General features: G+C 45.8%; 1 protein-coding gene across 7 annotated transcripts in view; it reads right to left on the bottom strand.

The window, feature by feature from the left end:
- The window catches only part of PRMT8 (protein arginine methyltransferase 8), a 212,625-nt gene that overhangs the window by 19,646 nt on the left and 175,295 nt on the right, over positions 1 to 17,684 (bottom strand). For 6 of the 7 annotated variants that reach the window (NM_001256536.1, NM_019854.5, XM_017019644.2 and 3 more), the window contains 2 exons: positions 5,480 to 5,622; positions 4,764 to 4,851 (listed from right to left, as the gene is read on the bottom strand). In NM_001256536.1, the coding sequence (NP_001243465.1) occupies positions 4,764 to 4,851; positions 5,480 to 5,622 (231 nt within the window). Of the gene's footprint in view, positions 1 to 4,763; positions 4,895 to 5,479; positions 5,623 to 17,684 lie in introns of all 7 variants that reach the window. The other variant, XM_047429158.1, reaches the window with a different exon arrangement.

Genomic DNA, 17,684 nt, shown 5'->3' with positions numbered 1-17,684 from the left:
TTTGGAAACCTTTGGGGTACATGATCTTTACTGTCTTCAAGTCCCAAAAATGGTGATCTTAATGTCTCATGGCCTTTGTGAGACCTTCTCTAAACGCTCCTGACCATATAACCTCTCCTGTACCCTCAACACCCATAGTACAGCATTTAGCACAGAATAGGCTCACAGATAATGTTTTTTGAATTGAGATTCATTCCCAAACATTTAATGCCTGCACTGTTTTGCAATGCCTGGTGTTTTAGTTACCTTTATATGGGTTAATTTGGGTCTTATCTCCTCAGCTGGACTGCCCCACCTTCAATCATTCAGAGCACAGATCACCCAAGGGATTAGATTTTTTTTTCTTCTTTCTGCTGGCCATTTATTTCCCAGTAGCCCTTTTTATCAGAAGTGGAGCAGAGATGGAGTAGGATACAAATAAATCACATTAATTATTTGTTGCAATAATTATTTGTATGCTGTATGCCAAATAAGTGTATGTGGGGTAAGAGCCATTGGTCATCAAGAAATATCATGATTATCTAGAAATTAAAAAATAATATCAGAGAGGCCTGTGAAGCTTTTGTTAATGGATGAAAACAGACTCCTAAAAAGGACTATACTATGGCATAATGTATGTAATTAAAGCAACAACAAAGCCCAAATCTACTATTAATACAGACTAGATTGACTCACACACACCCTCATTCTAATAGCCTGGCAGAGGCAATGCTCTTTTCTGGACATAGGTGTGATTCACCTGTCTCTACTGGTCCTTTTACTCACAATGCCCAGCATTAATGAAAAATTATAAGACACATGAGAAAGGGAAAAATATGACTTATCATCATAAGAAAAAAGTCATAGAACCAAATTTAGAGATGCTCAGATGTTAGAATTATCCAACAAGACTTTAAAGTATCTATACTAAGTATGTTAAAGAAGCTAGTGGAAAAGGTGGACAGTGTGCATCAATGAATGGAGAATTTCATTAGCGAGATGGAAACTTTTTAAAAAAGCCAGTGGAAATGTTAGAAATCGAAATAACAATATAAGGAAAGAAGACTTTTTAAAATGAACTTATTAACAGAATGAATATATCAGGGAATAACCAATAAAGTTGAAAACGGGGCAATAAAAATGATCCAAACTTAAACACAAAGAGAAAAAAGGGGTGAAAAAAATAGAGGATCCAAGCTCCATAGGACAATATCAAACATTATTTCATATAATGGGAGTTCCTGAAGAAGGGGAGAAAGATAATCAGGCAGAAAAAAATATTTGTAGAGATACTGGCTGAAATTTTTCTAAACTAACGAAACAATCCATCCACAGTTCCAAGAATTCCATGTAACCCCAAGCAGGATAAATAAAAAGAAAAACACACCTAGACACATCAGAATCAAACTGCAGAAAATCAATAAAGACAGAAATCTCAAAAACAGTCTGAGGAAAGAAAATTAAGTACCAGGGGAGAAATGTGATTTCTGATTGCAGAGAGCTGTAGCTACATCCTCCCTCACCACCCCAGCCCCAACCATCTGAGTTTCTCTGATGAGGCTAATGGGACTGCCTCAGAATGAGGTCAGAGAAAAATAGAACAAGTGCCACCAGATGCTACTTACAGATTCTCCTCTGTGCAGAAGGGAAAGTGTTTACACTAGATTGACACATTTTAGGCTCTCATGAAGAAAGTGGAATCCTTGCATAAAATGGGCTGGAACCAGAGGAAACTCTGGATGTCATGAGTGGAAGTGAAGCCCACAGACAGCAGCTGAGCCATCCAAGAGGGCCGCCCTTCAACCATCAAGCTATAAGCACTGCCACCTCTGCATGAGGTCTTTCTTTCAGTCTTCTCATCAGCCAAGAAACTGGTGCCCATCTCTCTCATTCTCAGCAGGGTGTAGATTCATGCACTGGGTACAATTCATGGGTTGTGCATGAAATTGAATAGAACATCCACCGAGTTTCCTTCCATTTTTGAAATTCTGTGTATTTCCTTTATAGTAGAAAATGTGTGTAAAATGATTGCTCCTCTCTAAGAGTTAAATACTACACCTTGCACATCCCTCTGCTGGTTCACTTTCCTTCCTTCCTTCCTTCCTTCGTTAAAATTATGTATTGTGAGCCTAGTATATGCCAGATATTTATCTCTGTCTCTATGTGGTCTCTATTCATTGGTGAGCAAATGGAGGGCAGGTTCTGCACTGACCTCATTCTTGCACTCCCATGTTGCTGTGTGTGGTTGAGAAAGAAGAAGAAAGGAGGGGAGGGAAGGGAAGGAGAGGGAAGGAAATAAAAGAAAAGGAAAGGAGAGGAAAGGAAAGAAAGCTCTCCCTCTAACAACTTACTTTCTGAAAGGGGCTGAACATGTCTCACTCTCCTGCCTCATTTCAAAATTTTTCCTTCTTAGCTGGTTCTTGAGCCAATAGAAAATTGCTTACAATTGTTGCCTTAGCAACCAGCAACCTTTGTGCTTTACTTCTGATTTAGAACTCATAGTAACCAAAGTCTCCATTTATTTGAAATGAATTTCTAAGTGGGTTTGCTTCCTTTACAAAAAAATAGATTATTTTCAAAAATGTAAATAGAAAATGTATTTTAAATACATTTTAAGTGTCTGTTTCTTGGTGTTCTTTTGGGGTGGGGAGGAGGTTGGGGTATTTTTCAGAGACTCTAGAACAAGCACAAGATAACATGGTGCTAACTTTCAGATTTTTTTTTTTCCTTTTCCAAAAGGTATGAACACTGCAATGAGAATCAAAGAAATCACATGATCTCCAGTCTGGGGCCAGTGCCTTAGGAGCCCCTCCCTGCCCCAGGCTGGCTCATTGCAATGTGCATACCTGCAAAGGCTCCTGACACAGGTATCTTTGTTGTGGAAACCATGAGAAAGTTTCTTAAAGAGGTGTGCCTCGGGTTGGAGCTCAATAAATATCTAAGTGAACTTGACAATGAAGAATGTACCTAGAAGCTTTCCTCCTCAAAACACTATTCAGTACAATTGCACAGCAAGAACTCCAAAATGCAGCTCCAGGGCAAAATATGTCCTATTTATACATGCATTTGATCAACACTCACTGTGGAGTTGTGTCTGCAATCTTCCATGAGAGTACATCTGTCCTAGATTCTGAGCCACCAGGGGCTTGGCAGTCAGGCTCACTTGCCAGAGCCAGGGGCAGAAAGGGGCTTAGCTACACAGTCAGAAACTAGTTCCCATCTAGTCCCATTATAGGACCAAGAACTGTCACGTCCTTTAATATATGTCATCTCACTTAATCCTCATGACAAGTCTGTGGGATTGAGAAAATTATCCCTTAACTGAGGCCCAAAGGTATTAGATAATTTGCTCAAGGTTACCCAGTTAGGACATGGCAAAGCCAAGATTTAAACCCAGGGCTGGCAGTGTGCAAAGCATTTAACCTGGGCCCCCCTGCCTCTCACTGTCCTCATTTGGTATTTTGCCTCCTTCCCCCAGGAGGTCAAATAGTGGAAATCACACCAGATTGGCTGGAGGCAGACAGCAACCAGAGACGGTTTCCAGGGCACAGAGCTTCAAACAGCTGTCCCACTTTTGTCTTCTTCTGAACCTGGCTCTGAACTTCACACTTTGAGTTTATATTTCCAGAAAGGCATGAACCCACACAAATACACACATCCATAGCAGAGTCCAGCCGAGTTTTCATCAGTGCCACTAACGACGATTAGATGGCAATTGTTTAAATCCACAGAGCCACAATTTGTTGAACTGTGGATGGAGTCTTAGCCTCTTGGAGGCATTTATTCTTCTACTCAATCTGTGAACCCCTCCACAGTAATCTTGCCAAGTAGGAATGGACCACCCTGTTGGGGCAGGAACCGCAGATGTGCCCAGTCTGATGGATAGGTTGGAGCTTCTGCCTCTTGCTTTAATTTGGATTTTTGGGTGTTTGCCTGTTTGAGGGGTTCTTTGCTCCTTTGTTGTATTTGGTTCTGGTTGAGGAGACACAGCCATGTTCAACTTTACAAAAACATGTTTGGTATAATCTCATTAAGGATCAGGCCTGTGTCACAGAGAAGTGTCACCCTTTACGAGAAATAGGATAACAGCCCTTTTCAGACCAGGTAAAACATTGCGGGGGAGGAGAAGTTTTTTGGCTTTATTGTTCTCAGAGAACCACACACGCCTAGCTGATAAGGCATTAAGAATACATGTTTAGATACGAGCCCCTGCCTCATGCACACATGCACACTCGCCTTTCGTTTGATTGTTCAAAGCAAAATCTCCACTCTTTCCCACCCCCTCTGCTATCTATTCCTCAAAAGAACCTCAAATAATATGTATTTGCATAAGAGAATCAATATTATTTTGATAAGTTTGAATGGAATGGAGGCAGGATTCAAAACAATTGGCCTGGCAAGAGACCTGCTACTTCAGACCCCTGCGGTGGACTTTTGGGCTAACTGAACCTTGACAGGTTTCAAGCCACTTGCCCTGCTGATCTCTGCAAAAACTCAGCTTCTGCTGCCTCAGTCCAATTTTTAATTCACATTGCATTCATTCTTTCACCCCAGGACATTTCTCTCATCCCAGCCATATGGCTTATTTTCTGTCTGTAGACCTAACACCCTTGGGACTAGATAGAAACATTTAGAGAGCAGACTCCAGAAAGGGTCCCAGATAAGCTCCTCTTCAGGGACAGCAATGGTGTTCATGTCACTGCCTGCTCATCTCGGGCCCACTGGAGTGCCTCCCACCCCAATTGTGCAGTGGAAGTCCACCGGAGAAGCAAGAGGGGACTTACAGTGGATTTTGAAGTCCTTGTACTGTCTGTCTTCAATCGCTACCACGTACAAAGCTGCCCGGTCTGGAAACATAAGCCCTCCAGGTTTCTGTTGATGAATTGTGGGGAAATGGGTCTCGTAATCTATTCACCTGACAAAGACATCACATTTTGAACTGCACATAGAGTCACCAGACAAGCACCCCCTTGCCACCATCTCTCATGCAGTGGACTGTCACCTTGTCTGGGGTGAGGGCTAGGACAGCAGTGCTCAATTTTTATTTTGGAGCAAGGAAAATTTAAGGGACCTAGGTGGAGTCAATAGGACAAATGAGGTGAGGTGAAGGTAAATCCAGTGAGGAGCAGTGAGAGATGTTACGACTTTGGCCTGGAGAAGCCCAGATGAATAGCACACCTGGCTCTGGCAGCCATGCAAGTCCTAAGTACTTGCTGACCGAAACGGACCTTTAACTCGACAAGAGAGAACGGATGTCTGTTATTGCAAAAGAGGCTGCGGTGAGACCCACGGAAGTCCACTCTGATGGTTACACATGCTGGACCCGGGGCAACCATTCTGTTCCCTGATACAGATCTGCTCTAGAGAGAGGGGCTTGGGGCAGTGACCTCCTGGCCTCAGTCTTCTCTGAAGTCTTCGTATGCCTCCTAGGCTGCAGGCCTTGGGTAGAGGAGCAGGACAGCCAGCCGGCCAACGCGGGGACAGCATGCAGGACACTTACCAGCCACTTGTCCCTGGCAAAGATCACCGTGTTGAGCATGGACTCATAGAACAGACAGTAGCCCATCCACTCGCTGATGATGATGTCCACCTTCTCCACAGGCAGCTCCACCTCTTCCACTTTACCCTTAAATATGGTGATGACTGGAAAATAAGAACCCCAGGGCCATACTTTGCAGGGACCCCACCCAGGAACCACAAGCACCTCACTTCAGGGCCAGATCTCCAGGTTTCAGCCCTATTCTGATTCTACTTTTAGGATATGATGTAGCTCACCCTTTACCAAACTAGTTTATACCAACATAATTGAAAACTACCTGCATGTTTTCCCTGTAAAATAAATTGAGCCATTACTATGTGCCTGGCATAGCGCTAAGCCCGTTATATGCGTGGTATCACGTCATCCTTCCAACAGCCCTGTGAGGTAAGCACATTACAACTGACCCTTAACAACCTGGCTTTGAACTGCACAGGTCCACGAACACGCAGATTTTTTTTTTTTATTTACACCAAGTGTGCCTGCCTCCCCTTCCACCTCTTCCAGCCACCCCTGAGACAGCAAGGCCAGCCCTTCCTCTCCCTCCTCCTCAGCCTATTCCATGTGAAGGCAATGAGGACAGAGACCTTCATGCTGATCCACTCCACTCAGTGAGTGGTAAATATATTTCCTCTTCCTTAGGATTTTCTTAACAATTTCCTTTTCTCTGGATTACTTTATGGTAAGAATATAGTATATAATACATATACCAGATATGTGTTAATTTTTTTTTTTTTTTTGAGACGGAGTTTCACTCTTGTTGCCCAGGCTGGAGTGCAGTGGCGTGATCTCTGCTCACCACAACCTCCGCCTCCCAGGTTCAAGCGATTCTCCTGCCTCAGCCTCCAAGTAGCTGGGATTACAGGCATGTGCCACCACGCCCGGCTAATTTTGTATTTTTAGTAGAGACGGGGTTTCACCATGTTGGCCAGAGTGGTCTCAAACTCCTGACCTCAGGTGATCTACCCGCCTCGGCCTCCCAAAGTGCTGGGATTACAGGCATGAGCCACCACAGCCAGCCAATGTGTGTTAATTGACCAAGTTATCAGCAAGACTGCTGGTCAACAGTAGGCTGATAGTAGCTTACTTTTGTGGGAGTCAAAAATTATGCTTGGATTTTCAACTGTGTGGGGGATTGGCACCCCTAACCCCTGTGGTAGTCGGGGTCAACTGTTATTTTTGTTTACAACTAAGGAAACCGAGGCTTAGAGAGGTTGAGTAGCAGCAGTGGAAACAGAGCCCAGATCTGATATGACATGACTCTAAAACTCTTCTCAAGGCCCCCACCCCTATGTTAGGTTACCATGACAATTCAAACTCAAAGAAAGCATAGATGCCTCCTCTATTGCTTTTGCATTTGTTCACAGCCAGGCTCAATACCAAATGGGTGCCCTTCTAGTGTTTGTGAGGGAGGAAATTGATATTTTGATGAGAGCATGGGCTCTGCAGTCAGGGAAACCTAGGTTTAAGTGCCAGATCTTCTCACCATTAGCTGTACGACTTTAGACAAGTTACTTGACCTAACTAAACTCCAATTCCCAAGTGAACAACCATGAAAAGCAATATCAATTTAGAGGGTGATTGTATTGATCAAATGAAATAACACATGTGGAGTGCCAGGCCCATAGCTAAAGCTCAACAGAAGGTGGACATTATCTGACATATTCCTGCTTGTTGATCCACAGATGGAGAGGGGAAGCAGATAGGGCCAGGGTCAAAGCCCCTGTCCCCAGTGGCTTCTTCTTATGAGTCACCTTCAAGAACTTCAGTTTCCTCTGTGGGAGGAGACACTTCTTAGTTGAGTTTTTGATAAACTGACATAGACATACACATAATTTTGGAGTCCCTTTTTGTATTTGTTGCTGTAAAGATCTGAGCAAGCTAGTTTAGATACCACTGTTAAATTGGCAGGCTGATGTATTGGTTGGTTTGTTCTTTCTGAACATTTCCTTTGAAAGGTTACATATATTCATGCTCTGAAACTCTCATTCTGCAATATCCTCTGAAAAAAACTCACACAATGCCTGAGCTTTGCTGGGAAAAACAAACAATGGCCTGTACTTAGGAGTAAAAATCAAAAGAACCACATCTGCCTAGAATCTGAGTTTCATGAAAATTAATTTGGACTGAGGCTCCTGGATGGCAAAGAGCACACCGTTTGCTGGCTTTATTTAGTTTCTTCACAGTGAATAATGCAGGTGATGGAGTGTCCATTAGCAGCTTCTAATAACAGTTTACTCTCCACTATGTGGTATTTAATCAAGCTTTAATTGGATACAGCCTGCTCTACAAGGAGTAAGACACTTTGTACACATGCATTGACCCTGGTCACTCTACAGTGAGGTTCAGTCTTGGGTGGCCCTCCTGACTGGTTACTGCTCAAAAGCCCCTACCATTAAAAAGTATGAGCAGGAAGAGCTATTCTCCAAAAGTTTTGGTGGGAGTGGGAGGGGTAGGTGTTGAAGTTTCTCTGGGTCTCAGAGACCCCAGGGCAGGAACTCAACTGAGAGCAGGGCCCAGGGTGCACTAAGAAAATTCATAGAGTGGCAAAGTAAAGGATTTTTTAAAATGCAAACATTGTGCCTAATTTATTTCTTATTTTGAAAGAGAACTGACAAATATATGCATGACTCACCTGCCTAATCATTTGCATGCAAAGCCTGGCTTGCCTTAGTTTTGTAAACTTAAAAATTGTCTTTAATGGCCTCCCTTACTTTTTTTTCTTTGCACGTTTCTTGAAGGTTCTTCCCTAATGTCTGCCTGTGTCTGTGTGGCTATGGGTCAGTTCCTCCTCCTGCATTTATATCATGACCTCTCTGTAGCCCTAGAAGATGTTTTCTCCTGCCTCCGGGGCCTCATGACCTCTACCCTGAGTGTTTAGTACAAGGCTCCACCCATGACAATTTTTGTGGACAGGACTCTATTAGGAGCTGCAGGAAACAGACAAGGAGTAATCCATCATCAAGTCTAACAAACAGGTATGTATGAAATATTCCTCAGGTGTCCCCCAAAGAGAGTTACTGCTGCTCATGTTCTCTGTGTTAGCCCTCTTATCAATTAGTTGCTGTAACCTCATCAATATGGATTACAAGAGATGATTGATAGATAGACAGACGATATAGAAGACAGATAGATGATAGCTAGATATAGGGGGTCACAGAATAGCAAAAATCACAATCTCTGCTTGCAAAAAGGCAGAAGGAATCAGTTAACCCTATAAAATCCTCAACAGTCTGGACTTCTGTTCTCTTAACATCACCCTTCTACATCTATTCAAGTGCAGACATTTCTCAGTGTGGACATGGCCCCACAGTTGGCTTGGTGAGGAGATGAGCCCTTTGTCAAAGGAAAAGGACCCATCTCCCTTCAATCCAGTGCTGGACTGGCTTTTAGACTCCATTTATCCCCTTTCTCCGGTGCTTTTGTGCTCAACCTGCACAACTTTATGCTGGAATCCTAAAAGGCAGCAACTTACGCTCTTGTTCCAGGTGACAGCTAATCTCAATCAAACATCTCCTCTCTTTTATTTTCCTCATTAGGAAAAAAAAAAAGAAGGGAGGTTGAATCTGAAATTCTTTGCAGTGCCAGAAAGCTGCGGTTCTTCAAATGTGTACTGAGCACTTGTTATGTGTAAGGCATTCTGCAAGATTCACTGGTGGAGACAGCTGGCATCAATAAAAAAAGATGGTGCCTCCAAGTTCCAGTTTGACTGTCATTTTCAACACTTCCTGGGTCCTTTTATTTTTTATTTTTAAGAGGTCACATTCTTTCTGTGCAGCCAAATACAACTGTCCAGCTGAATCACCATGAATATTCTTCCTGCAGTCTGTAGTCACCACCAGCAACCACTTAAACTTCCAGATTCAATTTTCCAATCTACAAAATGCTACCTGTCATGGTGGGGCATATGCCAACTTACTAGGGGCTATTGGCCAACATAGGGCATTAGGCTGGCTCAAGGAAGTGTGTGGGCACACACAGCAGCAGTCTTCCCTTCTCCTCCATGCAAAGGATTTTCAAGGGGGTCTAAGCTATTGATATTAAGATTCCGAGCAGCCGTAGGCTGCAGAGCTCCATGCCCAATCTGGACCCCAAGTCACTAAAACTGCATCAACTCAAGGTTGCACTGAGGTCACCGTCCGGATCCATGTTTTTATTCCAGAAGGATGATGGAAAGTTTGTTCAACGAACTATGACAGGACTCTGGCTGGTAAATTACAGAATGATTAATCAGAACTAAATGCACAGCAGGGAGCAATAGACTCTAAATTGGGAAAACTTCTCCTGTAGCTTCAAGTTTGTAAGTGAGACATCCAGATTTTTAAAAATGGTTTTGAGTGGAATTTTTTCTTTTTGGTTTGAGTGGTTCTTACAGAAATCTAGTCATTCTCATTAATGGTCATTTTTGTTTTTAAACAAATCAGGCCAGCTCAACCTCATTTGAGCCTCCAGTGCATCCATCAGGGTCAGCTGATGCCCGTAGGATCTGAAGTTAGTGATCATTTTTAGGTCCTCACTCTTTCAGAGAGCAGGTCCTGTGCCACACAAGAGGAGGCATGAGGGTCACAGGCATGGGAACATATTATGAGCCTATGAAGCCCCCTGACCCCCCTGCCAACCCCACTGCAGCAAAGCCCTTCGCTCGCCCTCCCCACTCCCTTGGTCCTTGCTCATACACCTATTTTGGTGACACCCATGCTGGCTGCCTTGCACCTGCGGAGGGCCCGGCTCACCTCCAGCGTATGCATTCCTTCTCTTCGTTGTCTATTTTAGCTTCCTATTTCCAGGATATAGCGGAGCATTTGACTCCTCACAAACATTCAGAATCATTACTCAATGAATGGATGGATGAATGAGCAATGTTGAAGGAAAAAAGGTGGGGGGCATTGGGTTAAGAGACAAAAGATATTCAAACTAGTCCTAATTGTGACAGTAAAAAATTACTAGCATTTGAATAGCAGCTTGCAGAGTGATTTTCCGTATGTTACTTCAGTAATCCTCCTAGGAACTTGTGTGCTTGGTTTTATTATTATTTTTGCCTAAGGAGTGAACTGGAGTTTAGAGAAGTCAAGTTGTGGGGGCTGAACCTAGGCCTGTTGTGCATGTTTGTGCCTCTCCGTGGTTCCTTTCCTCACCCGGCAAATGGGTGTATATCTGACCTCCCTACCACCTGGGATTCTTGTGGACATGGAGCAACTGCTTGGGATGTTGAGAGAAAAGAAATCAGAGAAGGCAAAGGACTAACCTACCCTTCTCCTGCGGCTGGTCAGGAGTGATGGGAAAAAGGATGTCGATATCTCTACCCTCCATGAATGGTGGGACTGGGACTATGTCCTGCAGCAAACTGACCCTATTGCTGCAGTGGCATAAGGGAGCCCCCGGTGTCATGAAGCCTCAGGGTGGTCGCTTCCACAATATAGTACCCCTCTCCCTGCCCAAATCCCCCACTCACCCGAGAACATAGGACTCGAGGGTCTGCTTTGTCCTCACTGTGTAATCTGCTTGGCTTCATGTTCTAGCCCGCTCTGGCTCTCTTGAGGGCTCAGGGCCCAACGTGCTTGGCTGGAGCTCTAAAGCCCTGCTAGCTTTGCCAGAGCCATTCCCTGGCCAGAGACCCTGCCTGGTTTCTCTCCTCCCTTAGGCAGTGGCTGGAGTACTCAGTGAATCAGAACAATACCAGGACTCTTCCCACCCGAGATCATCACCCACCACTTAGAACCCCACCTGTGGTCCAGCCTGGCAGATACCCAGCACCATGGCCACAAGCAGATGATCATGTGGGCTTGGCCAAAGGGGAGCAGGGGTTATCAAGAAGGCACTGGTACTGGGTAGAGTGGTTGAAATCAATGGGAATGTAAAGGGCAACCAAAGCTTCCCCAGGGCTCAGGTATTCAGAAAACCATTCCAAGTTTCTCTATCTGGAATGGTTTCACTCTCTCCCTGCAGCAGAAGCTTCCATGGGACAGAAAGTATCTCCCACCTGAGGGAATGTATACAGGCAGGTAAAACGCTCTTCCCACTGCTCTCAGCATGGCCCCATCTTCACCTTTAGGTCTCCAGAAGGGAAAACAAAACAGCTCCGGTTTGTAGCATCCGCCAATGTCCGTGGTGTAAATACTTCCACCATAGCCAATTTCAAGCTAACGACACAGATGATGTCATTCAAGGCAGAGTTGAGAAGAGATGAGCGCACGCAATTGGCTCTTGGCAGGCAGTGTGTGACAGCCAGCATGCCCCTGCAACCACCCAATTGGAAAAAACACATCCCCATTTTCTCAATTATTCCATGCTGTTTTTTTCTAAGCACGTTCACAGTTTGTGATGATGTTGTGATTTTGTTTGTTCGCTTGCCTTCATGTCTGTCTTCCCCCGAGACTGTAAGCTTTATGAGAGCAAAGATGTTGTCTGTGCTAGTCACACCACGAACTCCCCTATGCCCGACACAGGACCTAGTACGTGGCTCAATAATACTCGAAAGGATGAATACATGAAACTCACTTTGAAGATTATTAATGGGTTGTTTCTCGAGCTGTTAGGGAAGGAAGTAGCAGTTGCCAGCAGTCACTACTACAGGCTCATTAAAAATAATTACATATGATTGGTCTCATTTCTTTTTTTGATATGGTTATTAGTCAAGTTAATAAACGGAATAATCATAACAACCGCTAATGTTTATTGGTTGCTTAGTGCCCACCGGATGCTGTTGTGTTTTATACAGTGGTGTGCTGGAGATACTTAACAACCGGCTCTCCAGGAGATAGAAGCCCTGGTTTGTCGCCTTTGCTGAATTCTGTGGTATAGATACTTCCACCATGGCCAATGATGGCATCCATTCTGCAAATTTACTGAAACTTTCACAGTCAGCTCTCAGGATCCTGTAAGGTGCTGACTCCAGAGTGCCACAGTTATACAAACAGCAACTATGCGATCCCCACAATGGCCCTGGAATGTATGACCACTAATTCCTGTCTCATAGATGAGGAAACTAAGGCACATAAACTAAGTCATCCAAGAGCACAGCCTAATTCTGGCAGAGCTGGGTGTGAGCCAGAAAGTCTGATTCCAGAGCCCATGCTTGCAGTATATCATGTGGGACTTCAACAAGGACGTTTACAAGGCCCCACCGCCATGGCATCCTAAGGGAGAAGATGACAAAGTACTGTGTGGATTCATGACTTGGCTGCATGACCCTATTCCAAGGAGCTGGTTAAGAGCCTAATGTAGAGCAGCCTGTAGGAGCTTCCACCCTCACCGTAGGACACCCATCACAAACCGGGAGCAGTGACCCCAGGAGAGTGATCATCTGCAGGGCGTCTTAGTCATTTGTGATAGAAGACCAACTCTAACAACTTGGTGTTGAATATGAATAAAAACATGTGACTCTTGGTTTGGATTGATTCAAAACATCCACCAACCAGATATAGGTTAGGAGGTATCGCTTGGCAGCAGTATGTGAATAGACAACAGATTGTATTTGGTCTCCAGCTAGGAACAGTGTGACATGGTGTTTTCCACAACCGCTGGCAGGCAGAAACTGGAGGTGCATTGCCACAAGTGCAGCATCTGGGCCCCTCCCATTGACTGGCTGTGTTTAATTCTTAGCACGACCCTCTGTTGGTGAAAGAGCTGCTAAAACATGGCCAGAGGAGAATGTTCCAACCACTGCCCTCCTAAGCAAAAGAGGAAGGAACTGGGGATGTGTAGCACTTGTGGAATCCCCACCAGGAGAATCATCCCAGGACTGGGTGGTTGCAAAGCACAGAGGATTACTGTCAGAGCACTTATATAAGGCTGGGAGTGTGTGGCCAAGAATCATCAAGGTGCAGAACCTTACACCTGAAATGACCTGTAGCTGACATTTGAGCACCTACTGTATGTGAGGCCCTATATCAGGCACTTGACCTCCACAGTCTCTGAGCCCCTAATAACCTTACGAGCTGTGCACTGGCCTATCTCCTCTAAAGGGGGCAAATAGAGGCTCAGAAGGGGGAAGAGATTTGACAAAGTCCTCCCTACCATTAAGTTGCAGAGGCCCAGCTGTCCCTTGCCACTACCTCATGTCATGCTACCTTAAAGTTTCTTGTAGCTATGACATTTATGCTTTAGGTCATGCAAAAGTAGGAGAAGGACAAGGAGGGGCATGCTTTTTTCCTTGAGTTTTCTGGGAAGTAAACGGGTTATACATTTTTTGTTTCTAGAGTTAAACCAATGCAATCAACCTCTGAGCTCCTATGTCAACCTTCACAAATGAATCTACCTTTTTAAGCATCTCGGCAGCCCACTGGTTTCCTCATCAGATGGGGAGGAAATAATAGTTGTTAGTGCTTAAGTCAAAGAGGAGTCACTGAAGCGCGCGTGTGGGCCACACATGTGGAAGAAGCCATGTGAAGGCTGCGTGCCTGCCGCAGGTGGCTTCCTGTGGGTGTGTGTCTACATGTGAATAACTCCATCACGGGAGCTGTACGGAGGTGGAGAGGGAGAGAGGCTGATTGCTTCTGGGAAGCAGGTATTCTATGCCCCGTGTTGTTATTTATGTCTCTACACCTACGCTCCTGAGACCCACATGGCTGGCTGTTGCAGCATTTCAAAAGCATTTCCATGGAAGCATCCGTGCAGCCAAGCTGTCCTCCTCTGAGTACACACACCAAGGCTAAGTGAGTGAGCAGGTGCAGCAGCCAGGGCCCTGCGTGGCCTCGCTGGCTCTACCCACCTGTTGCAAACCCTGGGAGGAAAAAGTAAAGACCACTCAGCTTTATGGAGGTCCCTGGACCTGGAGGTCCCTCCTCCCTGGAACAGGTGTGTGAAGGGAGGAATGGGCACGAGGGCAGCTATTCCCTTGGGGACAAAGGTTTGCACTCTTCAAGCCTTTGCCTCGGTAGCATAGAATCAAGTCTGAGCCATCAAAACCCAGAGCATAAACGATTCCATGCTAAAGCCATGAGGTGGGGCTGAGCAAACCCAGGAAATGGTAGGGGTGCGGATGCCACAACGGGTCAGCATGGACCACAGCAGCCCGGCTCAAGCAGAGGAGGGTGCCCATGTGGGACGCTGCCCAGCAAGGGTGTCAGATCCCAGCATGGGGTGACAGACATCTGCCTGGGGCAGGAGGTGGTGACAATGGGAGATTGGTTACATTCAGGGGTATGTAAACATATTATAAGTGAGTAGTAAGCAAACATATTACCAATAATAAGAGTCTGGTTTTTCTGGTAGAGAAAGGAGGTAGAAATATGGAAAGGGAGGAAATGAGAGGAAACTCCATGGTATTGGTTAACACTGAAGTATCATGTGAGCTCCTACTTGACAATACATATAAATAGATACAGTAATAAAGTTTGTGTAAATGTGTCCACTCACTCAGAGACACACAATCCCCAGCTCTCCCCAGTGAAACAGCCTGGGAGCATCAACGTTCTAAAATCAACGAGCATCTAGCCCCGACCTTAGTTTCTAAATGCTGTGGTCCACTAATTGGAATCAGGGAGAAATGACTGATTCCAGAACAGAGGCATGGAGGCACAAGACAAGCCTGGAATGTCTTGTGCTGGAAAGTAAGAAGGCTCGGGAAAAGGGAAAACGGCATTTCAAAGGGATACAGAAGCCAGCTGGAATGGCATCAGTGACCAAATCAGGGACAATTTGAGTATCGAAGCAAGTAGTGATAACAGCTGTAACCTATTACATAAAATAGGAATCTATAGTGAAATGAATGGACAGATCAGTAGATGGATGAACGCTGGCTGTCTGGCTGGCTGGCTGGCTGGATGGATGGACAGATAGACAGCTAGATTAGATAGATTAGATAGACAGGATAGATAGACAGATAGATAGATAGATAGATAGATAGATAGGTAGATAGATAGACAGATAAATGTTAGTTTGGTGAATAATGAAATATTTACATGCTCTCAAAGTACCTCCCCCAGAAAATCTTACTAATTACAAAGGGAAAAGAGCAGCTTTCCCATGGCGAAGGCTGGCAGCAGACACTGCCTTCCCCAAGTGGCCTAAGTGATGCTGTCAGTAATGAGACAAGCCGAAATTGTACGCAATGAGAACACAGCATCCTGTCTGTGAGATTTCTACCCAAGATGCAGAACCTGAATCCAATCACGAGGAACCAGCGCACAATCCCAAACTGGGGGACATCCTACAAAACACTGGCCTGTGCTCTTCCAATGTGTCAAGACCATGAAAGTCAAGGAAAGTCTGAGCAGGCCAGCTTGAAGGGAACCAGTCATGACAACTAAATGCAACGTGTCATTCTGAACGAAATCCTTTTGCTACAAATGATGTTACTCAGACAATTGACAAAACATGAAAAGGATCTGGGCATTAGGTAATGATGACGTTTTAATTTCCTGACTTTGATGGTTGCATGTGGCTTGTAGAAAATGTCCTCGTTGGTTTGAAATGCACACTAATGTATTCAGGGATGACGGAGCATTGCATCAACCACTTACTCTCAAAGGATTCCATAAAAACCCGGCTGTGTGCGCACCTTTTCTGTATATTGAGTATTTCAAAGGTTAAAATAAAGAAGGGAAAGGGGAGGAGAAGGAAGGGGAGGAAGGGGAGGAAGGGGAGAGCCCTATGGTGTGAGACAGAGCAGGATGATGAGGGGGCTGTGTGGTTCCTTTCCTGGCAAGCAGGACAGAGATGCCTCAGGGGAAGTTAGCCACCTCCCCTGCCGGCCCACCCCACACTCTGCTATGAATGGCTGCAGGGCAGTAGCCCCTGCAAGCCTAGGGAGGAGGGAGACCAGGGAGGCTGTGTTTCCAGAGCCCCAGACATTTACTGGGGGTGGGCTGGCACTGAGAGGGAGACGAAGAGTCAGGGGCTGGGTCAGAGGTCAGGAATTACGGCACAGGTGAAACCTGTGCAGAGGGAGGGGAATGGTCTAGGTGCTGTTTGGAAGCCTCTCAGGGCTCAGGGATGAGACTCAGGACCACTGAGAGGACATCTGATCCTGCTGTGCCCACACACTGCCTCCCCTCCCAACAGGCTTTCAGGCTCAGCAGCACTCCTGGTGCTTCTGCATCCACACAAACACACCTTAGCAAAGGGCTCAGTCACCCACCTCTCCTAGCCTCAGTTTCCACACCTGTTAATGGGGAAAACCATCTGCCCTATTTCACAGGTTGGGGAGAAGGAGGCCAGGCTGTGTCACCCTCCCAGAGAAAGAATCGACCAGTTTTCTTTATCTGTCTTTAGTAAGCAGATAGGGAGCCCGGGTCAAGCACTTCTCTGAGGAGGGCACAGAAGAGACCCAGCTCCGCTGGGTGAGCCAAGAAAGGCTGGACACCAAGCCAGAGGCCAAGGGGTCTGAGCAGCATCCCCCTACTTGGGCCTCAGGATCGCAGCTCCACTTGTGGCCACTAGACATGCTGCCCGCCCCTCGCCCCAGCCTTTGTCACAACCACCACCATCCTTCTCCGCTTCCTTCCTGGCCCAGCTTAGATCCCACGGCCCATCACTGTCATCAACTTCCAGCTCCCCCTCCCTCTGCTGCATGCTCCCAGCAAAGCCCTGATCCCGGCAACCTTCTACTCCAATCGCACTCGAGCTCCTGAGAGTGGTAAGAGAAAGATCACACAACAGCAAGGATGGGACTCACTGAGCCTCTATGGTCACACATCTCTACAGGCATCAGACACATCGCAGCAATCCTCACTCCCCCAGCCTATCTGCTGCCCTCCCTCCTTCCCTCTCATTCCAGGACTCACCTCCCTTCACCTTCTCTCTTTTTGGCATGCAACTGTCTCATTCTTCACTAAGCAAATGAAAGCAGCAAAACAAGGGCTTCCCACCACTGGCACCTCCATCTGGACCCACACTCCCCACTTTCCCCCACTTCTATGGCTGAACTGTCCCTGCCCCAAGGCAAAGGCCGCCTCTCCACCTGTGCAAGGCAAAGACCACCCCACCACCTGTGCAAGGCAAAGACCACCCCTCCACCTGTGCAAGGCAAAGACCACCCCTCCACTGGGCAGGGCAAAAGCCACCCCTGACACACACACCTTACCTTCTCAAGGTCTTTGCTGCTGAATTTACTTTTTCCTGCACCTGCAATCTTTCTCTGTCCCTCTACTACACCAGTGAATCACATACACGTTTTCATATCTCCTATTTTTTTTTTAAAAAAACTTCTTCCCTTAATGCCACCTTC

Source organism: Homo sapiens, chromosome 12 (assembly GCF_000001405.40).
Source record: "Homo sapiens chromosome 12, GRCh38.p14 Primary Assembly".
Taxonomy (NCBI): domain Eukaryota; kingdom Metazoa; phylum Chordata; class Mammalia; order Primates; family Hominidae; genus Homo; species Homo sapiens.
The sequence above is the reverse complement of the archived record's forward strand: the minus strand, read 5'-3'. Positions and strand labels throughout refer to the sequence as shown.